Source organism: Homo sapiens, chromosome 19, assembly GCF_000001405.40.
Source record: "Homo sapiens chromosome 19, GRCh38.p14 Primary Assembly".
Lineage (NCBI taxonomy): Eukaryota > Metazoa > Chordata > Mammalia > Primates > Hominidae > Homo > Homo sapiens.
Window position 1 is genome coordinate 5,076,150 of NC_000019.10, and position 12,073 is coordinate 5,088,222.

Consider the following 12,073-nt stretch of genomic DNA (forward strand, 5'->3'; position numbering starts at 1 on the left):
GCCACACTGCATCCTTTCCCCAGGGTCGTGCTCTCTCGTTGACCGAGTGACGAGAGCGGCCACACTGCGTCCTTTCCCCAGGGTCGTGCTCTCTCGTTGACCGAGTGACGAGAGCGGCCACACTGCATCCTTTCCCCAGGGTCGTGCTCTCTCGTTGACTGAGTGACGAGAGCGGCCACACTGCATCCTTTCCCCAGGGTCGTGCTCTCTCGTTGACTGAGTGACGAGAGCGGCCACACTGCATCCTTTCCCCAGGGTCGTGCTCTCTCGTTGACTGAGTGACGAGAGCGGCCACACTGCGTCCTTTCCCCAGGGTCGTGCTCTCTCGTTGACTGAGTGACGAGAGCGGCCACACTGCATCCTTTCCCCAGGGTCGTGCTCTCTCGTTGACCGAGTGATGAGAGCGGCCACACTGCGTCCTTTCCCCAGGGTTGTGCTCTCTCGTTGACCGAGTGACGAGAGCGGCCACACTGCATCCTTTCCCCAGGGTCGTGCTCTCTCGTTGAATGAGTGATGAGAGCGGCCACACTGCGTCCTTTCCCCAGGGTTGTGCTCTCTCGTTGACCGAGTGACGAGGGCGGCCACCCTGTGTCCTTTCCCCAGGGTCGTGTTGTCTCGTTGACCGAGTGACGAGAGCGGCCACGCTGCGTCCTTTCCCCAGGGTCATGTTGTCTCGTTGACCGAGTGACGAGAGCGGCCACACCGTGTCCTCTCCCCAGGATCGTGCTCTCTCATTGACCGAGCGACTGTGTGGGCTGTGGTCTGGTGGATTTTGTCTGGGGAGGTCGGAGGAGAAGTCTCTGCATAGCCGTGCCCTGTGAGGGACCCAAGTGTATGCCATGGGTGGGCACCTTGTCACACAAGTAACCCTGGTCCTTCCCCTGGTGAGGAGGCCCTTGGCTGCCCCTGCTGCTGGGCAGAGACGAGACCAGGCATCTGCTCACATGGTCACTGCGCAGAGGCCAGAGGGTGTCACCACTGTCTGCCACCTGCAGAGCTCACAGCAGGGCACTATGGGGCGGCTCCTGCGCATCTCCTTCCCCCCGACCTGCAGGCACTGGGGCCCTGAGAACCAAGGGCAGATCTGGGCCGTGCTCTGTGCTCCCACACGCCCGCTCTCCATGGGAGGAAAGAGCCAGCCTGCCCAGAGGGCAGCATCCTCGCTGACCCCGGCCGGCTGTGGCCCAGGAGACTGACGTCTGTCTTTTCGGCCCTAGGCTTCTTCCCCGGGAGCTCGCAGGGCTGCGACGCCTTCCTGCGGCATAAGATGACCCTCATCTCGCCCATCATCCTGAAGAAGTACGGGATCCCCTTCAGCCGGGTGCGTACGGGTGGGGCCTGCACGCCTGTGGGTGAAGTGGGTACCGGGTCCAAGCCCAGGTGGCCGCACATACCCCAGGAGATAAGCTGTTTAACCCTGGAGAAGTTTCTAGAACAGTGATTAGCATGCCAGAGGAGGGCCGCATGGCTCAGCAGTTAGCCTCCAGCTCTTCCACGGGGAAGCGAAGATGGCAGAGCTTGAATCTGGCGGGGTGTTAACCTCCCCTCCCAAACCAAACCAAAACTTCCTCCTGGGTGTGGCCATCAGAGGCCCCTCCGCAGGGGCTGCAGGGGTGGAAGGGCAGGGGCAGGCCCTGCTGACCTGGCAGGAAGCTGCCAAAGAAACAGAGGGCAGGGCCCCTCGTCCCGTGCAAGGTGGGAACCTGGTTCCTACCGCCCCAGGCCACACCCTAAGTCTCAGGCACCCCCACGGCCCATGTCACCCGGCCGTGGAGAGAACTGCCTGTTTAGAAGTGACATTTCGGGCTCTCCTGCACCGTGAAGACTGTGAACTCATTCAGTTCACTGCTTCAGGGGCTGCTGGTGGAGGCTGTGATGGAGGAGACCTGAGGCCGGGGGGTGGGGCCTCCCTACACCTGATTTGATGGACAGCTGGGGTTTGGTGTCCCAGGAGCAGAGCAGGCTGTGCTCAGGGTCCAGCTCAGCAACTGCACCCACTCGAGGCAGTTCCTTCCCCATGGAGAAGCCTTTGTCCATGGGAGAGTCTAGGCCTGTGTCCCCAGCTCTGTCCAGGTGAGAGGCACGTGCCAAGAACCTGCAAGGCAGGTCTGGGCCGCAGCCCAGCTCATGAGGTTCCACGGGAAGAGTGATGTGCAGGCTCGGGAGCGTGCTCTGTGGTGAGGCCCTGAGTGTCAGCCAGCCGGAAATTGCTTGTGACATTTCAATCAAACCGCCAAAGCATCAGCTCACACATCGGGGATCCGCTCTTCCTGGCGGGGCTGCAACCCAGAGGCCGCCTCCCAGCCGCTGCAGGCATTCATCAGACAGCACAGATCTCGCTCGGAGAAGTGCGCATTTCCGGCCTTTCCTCTTCTCCCCCGTCTTCTGGTTGGAACATCATTCAGTACCAGCAAAACCAGACAGATCACGGCATTGCTCAGGGAAGTGAGAAGTACTGATTTTCTGGCTGGTTTGTCTAAAACCTTCTCCAAAGTGGTGCTTCCTGGAGGGGGGTGCCCATCGAAGGGGTGGGCAGGCAGTGAGTGGCCTGGACTCCCAGGTCAGCATCTGTATCGCACTGCAGTTTATCTGTAAAGTTCCTGAACCTGAGCCAAAGGTGGCTCACCACCAGCCTCAGAGCGGCTGCTGGCACCATGCATGGTAGCAGGCGGGGTCCAGGCAGTACGGCTGCGCTCCCCAACACCGCCAGCTGGTTGCTGGGGCCGGGCGCCAGTTTCTCCAGAGGCTGCCACAGTGAAGGCCCCTGTCCCACTGCAGCGAACAGCACCCTGTGCCGCCCGGCCTGGGGACCGTCCTTCAGCCTCTCAGACGCCATGGGCTTGAGATGAACGTCCCTTCCAGACAGCAGCGTGGGTCCCCTCATCTGAATTCCTGGCAGCCTTCAAACAAGTGACTCCCCACACTCCCCTTATAAATCTTTGTAATGGTATTTACTTCTAGGAGAAAAAGCCGATCAATAGCAGAGCTTTTTAATAATTAAAAGTGTGTACTTCTGTAATCTGCCATTGACTCCCTCATTTATTCTGCAAGAGCTCGCAGAGGAAACCGAGTTCCGGGCTTTCTCCGTGCCTGGTGTCTGGGGCCGCGTCCTGTCACCACTGATGACTTTGCCGCAAAGCCTATTCATCATCCCAACGCCTTCTAATTGATTGTTGGATAATGTTGACAGCAGTGACACAGGGGACAGACACCGTGAGTGTGGAACGAAGCCACCAGGATGCAGGTTTTCTCGCAGGAACATAATCTTCTTGTCCTAACCGAGCACATTTTCTCTTCTAGGCCTTGGTTCATAGGAGGGCTGGGGGAGTGAGGTCCTTACACTGTGAGAGCTTGGCTCTCTGCTGCCATCACCCCCATTCAATCTTGGCATTCCGGGGGCCCAGCTGGATCCCTGAAGGCTCTGAGTCTGATGTCTGCCTGACGCATGCCTGCAGGCCTGGTTCTCCAGGGGAGAGACAGGGAGCCGTCACTTGGCCTTAGAGCAGGTGGTCAGGGAAAAGCCTTTCCGAAGCCGGCTCAAATAGGATAAAGGAATCAGTAATGGCATTTACTTTACTTTCTTAACTTTTCTTTTTTTCTAGAGATGGGGTCTCACTCTGTTGTCCAGGCTGGTCTCAAGCTCCTGGGCATAAGTGTTTCTCTTGTCTTGGCCTCCCAAAATGCTGGGATTACAGGTGTGAGCACCATGCCCGGCCCAGTAATTAGGTTTTTTTTTAAAAAGCCCCAAACCTTAATTTTATTTGCCCCTCATTTCACGGAGCTCCCAGCGTAGTGGGGAGAAGCTGGCCCAGAGAACCCCACGTCCTGCACAGTGAGGGCCAGCCCTTGGGGACCCCATGTCCTGCACGGCGGGGGCCAGGCCCTGGGGCCACGTGTGTTCCCCCCCCACCCCTATTTTCTGCCGCGTGCTCGTTCTGCTGCACGTGGCTGTCACTTGAATGGGAATTTAAAAATATAACTTAATGCACACTGACTTCCCTTGATTGGTGCAATTAATTATTTGAAAAGAAAAATATCACAGTGTTCTTAAGGACTGGCATTTTTCCAAGCTGTGTCAGTTTTGATTGATGTCTGACGCCGTGGCTGGCTTCTGAAAGCCTCACCAGTTCTGATGGCTTATTGGCGACTTCAGTGTATCCAGCAATCTCTGCTCATCTTTCTGGGGGAATATATAATGATCAGCAGGCCTGAGAACTCCTACAAATCAGAGATAAGAAAACAAATGGCCCGATGAATTCGGCGTGAGGGGCTTGAGCAGACGCGTTACGAAGGAGCTGCAGGAACGAAAGCCATGGTTCAGTGCCCAGCATCGGTAGAAGTCAGAGGCAGCCAGCTGGGAGACACCGCCAGCCCCAGGACGGCCACGTCAGAACACCGCCACCAGATGCCAGTGAGGAGGGCGCAGCTGCACGCTGCTCCCAGCCGGGGTGGATGCAGGGCGGTGCCATGGCCATGGAAAACCGTTCGGCATTTTCTTGGAAACGGAAGCATGTACCCTGTGCCCCAGCGATGCCACTCTGTGCATATTTACTCAGGAGAAATGAAAACATATGTCTCCAGAAAGATTGGTACATAAGTGTTCTTAGCAGTTTTCTTCACGAGAGCCCCAAACTGGAAACAGCCCGCACGTCCATCAACAGGAGGATAGATAAATAAATAACCATAGATCCACGCGCAACCGAGTACTGTTTAGAAATGAAAAGGAGCGGTCGCCTGGTGCACAGGACAGTGGGAACAAATCTCAGAAACGCACGCCAGGTGGAAGACAACAGGCACGTGTCCCTGCCGTACAACGCCATTCATGTGAACCACTAGGAGGGAACGAGGTCTGTGGTGACTGAGAGCGCGTGCGTGGTTCGGTGGGGATGGCCTGGTAGAGGGCTGGTAGGAGGGGTGCCTGGGGGCCCGGCATGTTTTGTTCCTGTCTGGATCAGTGGTTACGCCCAGAACTCCGAGCAGCCTGTGATCCCTGCGTTTTACTGGATGTTAAATAAAGATGAGGAGCCCACTTGACTTCAAGGATTCTAGTTCATGAGCCTCAGTTTCCACGTCTGTGGATTGGGCCCACAGCCCCACCTCCTAGAAGCCCTTGGCCTGAGCCCCGGGGTGCAGCAGGTGGGAGCCATCACTCCAAATTTGTTGTTGATCTTTCTGGATGGTCGTCTTTCAAAGGCTTTATCAACGGGCTTAGCAGTGAGCAGGGAGTGGGGGTCAGTGTGGCCATCTCGAGTGTCCCCAGAGTGGGGAGGGTTCCTAGGGCACAAGGCTGTAGCCCCCCAGCCCTGGTAGGCAGCCCTGCCTTTTCTTCCAGACCTTGGGGTGGCTGTTGGGAAACCTTGGGTCTGGGGTCATTGTGGGCCCCACCCCAGCCACGCACGCCTCGGCTCCTCAGTTTAGGGGGTCCTGCTTCAGAGACCTGCAAAGTCGAATGGGCCGAACATCCGAATTGGACCTGGGTCTGGAAGCATTGGCCCGCTCTCCAGGGTGCTGATCTGTGGTGTCAGGTCATGCCCCCGGTGTGCAGATATTTCTGGATCTCCATGACTTCATGGAGATCCCCTTGTTGAGATACAATTGAAAGATGGCTTGGGATGGCGGCGTGTCGCAGGCCCCTTCCTGGCGTGTTTTGCGCGTGCAGTGGTGGTTCCTTTCTCATGCGAGGGCAGAAGGTGTCCTGAGCGCGTGCAGTGTCTTGTCTTCAGAGCACTCTAAAGCTGCTGTCAGCACCACCCGCCCCGAAACCAGCCCCAGCTGCTTCAGGACATGTCACAGTGACTGTGAGTGTGACTCAGCCACCTCCAAAGCAGGAGGCCCCCATCGCTCCCCATGAAGGTCCGGCTGGAGACACCCCCACGGGCATTGTGTCCAGCCACGGCTCCATCTGCGGTTCTCCCACTGGGGTGATGCTGACGGCCGCCTTGGGGCAGGGCAGGGGCTGCTGGGGCTGGAGGGGCCCGGCTGAGCCGAGTGGAGGTTGCAGAGCTGTGGCTGCGGCTGCTCACTATGTCCTTCATGAGCCGCGTGGGAAATGGGCTGGAGCCCTGGAGCCCCTGGAGCCGCTGGATCACCTTTGACTTTGTGAAACCCCCTTGGCTCATAAGCCAGGCTCCCTGGCACTTGCTGGGAAGTGCCCACGTCCCATCCCCTGGTGCGCCTCTGGTGGCCCTGCCCTCACCTGTCTCCTTTCCCTCTGCAGATCACGCAGGAGGCCGGGGAATTCATGATCACATTTCCCTACGGCTACCACGCCGGCTTCAATCACGGGTTCAACTGCGCAGAATCTACCAACTTCGCCACCCTGCGGTGGATTGACTACGGCAAAGTGGCCACTCAGGTAAAAGCTTGCCTGCTGGGAACGGGTCCCAGCAGGGCGGGAGGAGGCTCTTTTTTGCCTCTGCAGCCACACGCCCATAGCTGGTCCAGCAGCCGTTTCGCTCAGCCCAGGGCCTGGGCTCTCAACCAGGGTCTGATTCTGGGCTCCTCAGAGAGCTTTTGCCCAGAACGCTCCTTACCTCGAAGACTGGAGAGGAGGTGGGCAGGTCGGGTGGACGATGGTGGCCCAGGGCCCATCTCCAGCGAGTTCCATACACCAGTTATCCCTCGGCCTGCGTGGGCCTCCTGGGCATGGCCGGCTGCTCGGGTCTAGGGGTTGGGGTGTTTCCTCCACCAGCACCATTGTCCCCCCTGCTGGCTGGCTCCTGGGCATCTCCTGGCCATCATGGTCCTGGGGTTGGGTTGTTTGCTGACATCTCTCTCCTGGGGGCCGCTTGGCCAGGCAGGAGCCCACTCAGGCATCTGCCCCCCTCCCTCCCTGCTCCCCTGTCAGTGGCAGTCCCCCAGCTCCCAGTGCCTGGGTGCTTCCTGCTGGTGGGGTCCCTGGAGGTCACGGTGAGCTTAGCATGCCCGTGGGAAGACTCACAGTGAGTGGCCCTTGCTTGATTTTTTTCTGGTGATTCTCGTTCCTGGTCTCAGAAGGCCGATTATTGGCCAGCAATTGGCGTCTGAACTGAGCGCTTGTTCCCCACTCTCCTAACGCCACGTACAGCCATCTGTGTGGCTGTTCTCGACCATGCGGAGGGTGTGGGAGGCTACTGGATGGATAGGAAGCCCACAAGAGCTGCTGCTGGGCACGGGTGGGACGGGGTCGCCTTGGCTGGCCACCCCCTCCCCCATGGTCTCTGCCTTGGGGTCCCAGTGACGGGGACGTGGACGGGGCTTATGAATCCTAAGCCTCAGAAAGGGGAGTGTGGGACCCGGGAAGGGAAGCAGCTAGGAGGCCGTCTGGGCATCACAGGTCTAGCCCTTTCCTGGCTGCCTGTCTGGAGCTGGGGGCTGGGGAGCCTCCTCCCAGGGCTGTCCCTGAAGTCCCCTGCGTGCTTTTCCTGGCTGCCCCCAAGTAGGACTGAGCTGTCCCGGCAGGCCAGGCTCGGCCACGTGGCCCTGGCTCAGGGCTGCTGTTTCTGGGCAGCATTGAACAGCCCAGCTCCTCCCAGCCCCTCTGTCTTCCCCGCAGAGACAGCCTCAGCCTCAGCCCCTCCCGGCGTCTCCCTCTGGTTTGGGGTCATGTGGCTGCTCGTGATGCAGCAGGACGGGCAGCGGGCTGGCCAGGGTGAGAGCAGGTACTTCCTCCCATCGTCCCTCCCAGTGCAGAGCCTTCCAGTTCCTCCAGAGCCGGGGTCAGCACAAATGGCAGATTCTTCTCAGATCCAGATGTGGGGGAGGTGTGATAGGAGAGACCACAGGGCCAGATCCGGATTCTTTGACTCTCGCAGCATTTTCTAGATGTCAGACCTTGGCCTGGTGCGGTGGCTTATGCCTGTAATCCTAGCACTTTGGGAGGCAGAGGTGGGCGGATCATTTGAGGTCAGGAGTTTGAGACCAGCCTGGCCAACATGGTGAAACCCTGTCTCTACTAAAAACACAAAAATTATCCAGGCATGGTGGTGGGCACCTATAATCCCAGCTACTTGGGAGACTGAGGCAGGAGAATCACTTGAACCCGGGAGGTGGAGGTTGCAGTGAGCTGAGATTGTGCCCTGGTACTCCAGCCTGGGCAACAAGAGCGAAACTGTCTCAAAAAAAAATACGTATTTATATATTATATATGTAATTTATATGTTATATATAATTTATATATTATGTATAATTTATATATTGTATATAATTTATATATTGTATGTAATTTATATATTGTATATAATTTATATATTGTATATTTATATAAAATAAATTATATAAATTACATAATTTATATATATAAATATAAATTATATATGTTATAATAATTTATATATTATATATAAATATAAATTATATATGTTATAATTTATATATTATATATAAATATAAATTATATATGTTATTTATATATTATATATAATATATAAATTATATAAATTATATGTATTATATATAAATATAAATTATATAAATTATATATATAACATAATTTATATATATAAATTATATATGTATGTATAATTAAGATGGATTTTGGCCGGACATGATGGCTTCACGCCTATAATCTCAGCCCTTTGGGAGGCTGAGGCGGGAGGATCTCTTGAGCCCAGGAGGTCAAGGCATCCCTGAGCTATGATTGCACCACTGCACTCGAGCCTGGGCAACAGAGTGAGGACCCGTCTCAAAGAAAAAAAATGAATTTCACCTGTTTCATTTTACCCACCCTCCCCCGCCCGCCGCCCCGGCCCACCCTTTTATAGAGACAGGGTCTTAATATGTTGGCCAGGCTGGTCTGGAACTCCTGGGCTCAAGTGATCCACCCACCTCGGCCTCGAAAAGTGCTGGGATTACAGGCGCGAGCCACCACAGCACACCACCTCTTTTTGCTTTTTTCTCCTGGCTACTGGGAAAATGGAGGCAGCATAGGTGGCCTGTGTGACATCTCTCCTGGCCACGCCGGTCTGGACGAATGAGCTAACCTTTATTTTTCTGGCTGTTTCTCTGCCTTCAATCCAGTTTAGAAAAAGAACAGGGGTCTACAGCAGGGAAGGCTTGAGAGATGCCCCCAGGACTCAGTTCAGAAAGTCTCGAATGTCTCTAGTGAAGACTCTGGGCTTAGCTAAAGGAAGAGAGATCCAGAAGTTGGGATTTCAGCTTTTTGATCTAAAGGAGTAGTTAAGTATCTCAGGGCTGTTGCTGTGTTGAAAGGGCATGTGTCTGTGTGTTTGTGCTGCCGTGAGGACACCACGGGTGTTGTGACCAGCCCAGCAGCAGATTGAGCTGTAAGCCCCAGGCCTCGGGCTTGTCCTGGAGGTGCTGTCGGAGCTGAAACTGCAGCGGGGCGGTGGGGACTGCCCAGATATTAAAAGCAATTTGGGGTTCAGCCATGTGTTCACAAACAAGTTGGCATTTGGGAAGTGCAGACTTAGATTGGGCTCCACGCTTCCATTGTCAGGCGGCGTAGCAAGTGGCGTGCAGCGCTCGAAACACACCAGGGGTTCCAGGCAGGCGCCCAGGGCCTGGGCTTCCTCCTGGACCCCCCAGCCCCGCTGTCCCAGCCCCTGCTCAGGCACCCCTGGTGTAGTCAGGCCTGGCCTGGGCGGCGAGGGCCTTACGCAGGGAGTGTCATTAGCCACAAGGCCTCTGTGGCCGTCGGGGGGGTCGGTGGCTCTCAGGCTTCTTGGCGGGGCAGCCGGCCCCTGACTCTGGCAGGGTTTTCTCTCCCATAAGCAGCCCAGGCTGGAGAGTCTGTTAGAGCATCTCGCCGCACAGATGACAGAGGAGTGTTAGAAGGCAGGGAAACGGCCCAGGTCAGGTGGGGCTCGGGCCTTGTTCAGATCTTGTGTGCAGCCAGATTGGAGAGAAGGGGCAGCCCAGAACCCCCCTTTTCTGGTGTCCCTCTGGCCGGCCCAGCTCCCCTGTCCCATTTGCGTTTCGGGCCACTTTGTTTTGAGCACATTCTTCAGAAGAGAGCCAAAGAGGAGGCTTTCCACCCCCTCGATTTGCTTAGAGACATTTTTGCTTGTTGGCTGTTCACCTTCCTTGACCGCTAGGGACCCCTGCCCCCCCCCACCCCGTTGTCCCCTTTCTGTCATTTTTGTGCTCAGGAGCTGACAGGTGAAAAGCCACCCTCCTGCCCTGGCCGGGCCCTGTGAATTTTGGGTGTCTGTGTTCACGGGTTGGCAAGCTAGGGCTCGGATCTGGTAGGCCGACGCTGTGCCGTCTGCAAACTGAGCAGGGGGTTTACGTCTTCACAGGGTTGTGGGAGGAGGGCAATTAAAAGGATGTGTGACCTGTGACAGCCGGACGAAACTGAAATCTCACCCACAAATGAGCAGCCTGTGCACAGAGCCACACTCTGGCATGGAGGTGGCGTCTGCGTCTGCTTCGCCCCGCGGAGTTGAGTAGTTCCGAAAAGCCAAGAGGCGTGTGCTGCCTGGCCCTTGCAGGGGAAGCCTGTCTCCCCGTCTACAGATGCCAGCGGGGTTGCACAGCTCGCAGGACAGCCACCTCCTCCCCCCCCCAGCCCCCAGGGCCTCTGTGGGCAGAGGGGCTGCTCCGAAAGCAGGTTGGCCCCCACCGCCTCACCACACCTCGAGCCAGTGCAGCTCCCTCTGGAGTTCCGGATGGGCCTGCAGCAGCTACAGCCGTGAGCAGGCCAGACCACTGCCACAGATGTGCTGCCACCTGCCTGCGGAGCATCCCTGGCTGCCCCATGGCAGGCAGGAGGCCCAGCCCTCAGCCCAGGTCTGCCCCCACAGGGCAGAGCTCTCCAAGGTTCCCCCGGCTGTAAAATCCCAGAGAAATACGATCTCCCTGCAGCAGGTGGCTTACCTACTTACACAGCCTTGGACCAGAGCCTCCGGGTGGAGCTTCCAGGGCCCTGCGCGCACACACAGGAGGCAGCCTGGGGCTCTCCCCTCCCGTCTTCTGCAGAGCAGGGCTGGCGCCTGCCTGAGCTCACAGGTGGGATGGAGCAGCCCAGGCCGGCACTTGTGGCCTAAACACGGCCTCATTCACTCCCCATCAGCAGAATGCCGTGGGCACACGGAGGCCATTGTCAAGGAGGGGGTGGGATTTATTCCCGTGGGTGTCTTTCCTTTCTAGCTGGTCTGTGGGCATTCACCCTTGCCACCTGTCTGTGCAGCCAGTGACATAGTCATTGCCCCTCGGGGCAGGAGGAGGCCTGGTGGCCCTGTGTGTCTGTGTGGGGGAGGTACGGCTGTGTCCCCACCCCCGGCTCTCCACTCCTGCTCATCCCCTATGAAACCTGGTGTCATGGACCTGCTCCCCTCGGGGCTGGTGACCTTTGGACCCCAGTGGTGACAACCACAGAGGTCCCCAGACATCACCTGCAGCGTCCCTTGGAGGCAGGATTGGCCCCAGTGAGAGCTGCTGCCCAGGGCCACTTCCGAGGTCAGTCATCTCTTTCTGGGGGGTGGGGTAGGTAGTGCCAGTGTCATTTTTGACTCCCCTGCTGGTGTGGCCTTCTAGGCCCAGGTTTCCCAGCATCTCCCCTCTCCTGCTGAGGGCCCCCATCTCTGAGTATTCCATTTGAGCTGCTCATCTCTGTGCCACTTTTTCCCAACTTAAGGCGGCTGAGCTCTGCAGCGGTCTGCAGCCTCGGTGTGCGACGTTTCTTAAGCACACAGGTGTTAAGTATCTCAGAGCCATGAAACTCTCTGCCTTGCCTGACAGACTCCCACCTTGAGGATGGACCCTGGCTTTGGGGCTGGGATTTCATTCACTGCACTCGAGTCTCTGGACGGGGGCTGGGCTGTTCGGAGGGTTTGGGGAGTGAGGGCACCGGGCAGCACAGGTTTAAGTCTCCTGTGTAGGAATCTCACGTCTTTCGGGAGCTAAATGCCAGGCAGGAGGTTGCTTTCCCCTCAGAAACTAGAAGTTCTTATCCAACCTGCTCTTCACGCCCACCTGTGGGGAGAGAAGCCCATTCCTTGTGTTCACTGCCTGCCGGAGAGCAGGAGGGAGCCTGTTTCCTCGTGGGCGGGATGTGCCCCCCGACTCGGGTAGGCCCGAGCATCTGAGGGCCCCCAAGGGCCCATCGTTTTCAGGGTGACCGTCCACACCTGCA

The 12,073-nt window shown here is 57.0% G+C and overlaps 1 protein-coding gene across 16 annotated transcripts in view, besides 2 other annotated features; it reads left to right on the forward strand.

The window, feature by feature from the left end:
- KDM4B (lysine demethylase 4B) overlaps positions 1 to 12,073 on the forward strand; it is a 184,486-nt gene that overhangs the window by 107,037 nt on the left and 65,376 nt on the right. For 14 of the 16 annotated variants that reach the window (XM_005259521.5, NM_015015.3, XM_011527814.3 and 11 more), the window contains 2 exons: positions 1,218 to 1,321; positions 6,218 to 6,355. In XM_005259521.5, the coding sequence (XP_005259578.2) occupies positions 1,218 to 1,321; positions 6,218 to 6,355 (242 nt within the window). Of the gene's footprint in view, positions 1 to 1,217; positions 1,322 to 6,217; positions 6,356 to 12,037 lie in introns of those variants that run through there. The other 2 variants (XM_011527822.3, XR_007066691.1) reach the window with 2 other exon arrangements.
- Positions 7,269 to 7,951: an enhancer, noted in NCBI's record as "H3K4me1 hESC enhancer chr19:5083429-5084111 (GRCh37/hg19 assembly coordinates)". NCBI's record gives its function as "activates a minimal SCP1, AML or CMV promoter by ChIP-STARR-seq in naive H9 embryonic stem cells {active_cell/tissue: H9 hESC(naive)}" and the evidence as "EXISTENCE:reporter gene assay evidence [ECO:0000049][PMID:30033119]".
- Positions 11,129 to 11,423: a silencer, noted in NCBI's record as "tiled region #3293; K562 Repressive non-DNase unmatched - State 15:Elon". NCBI's record gives its function as "represses a minimal TATA promoter and a strong SV40 promoter by Sharpr-MPRA in K562 cells {active_cell/tissue: K562}" and the evidence as "EXISTENCE:reporter gene assay evidence [ECO:0000049][PMID:27701403]".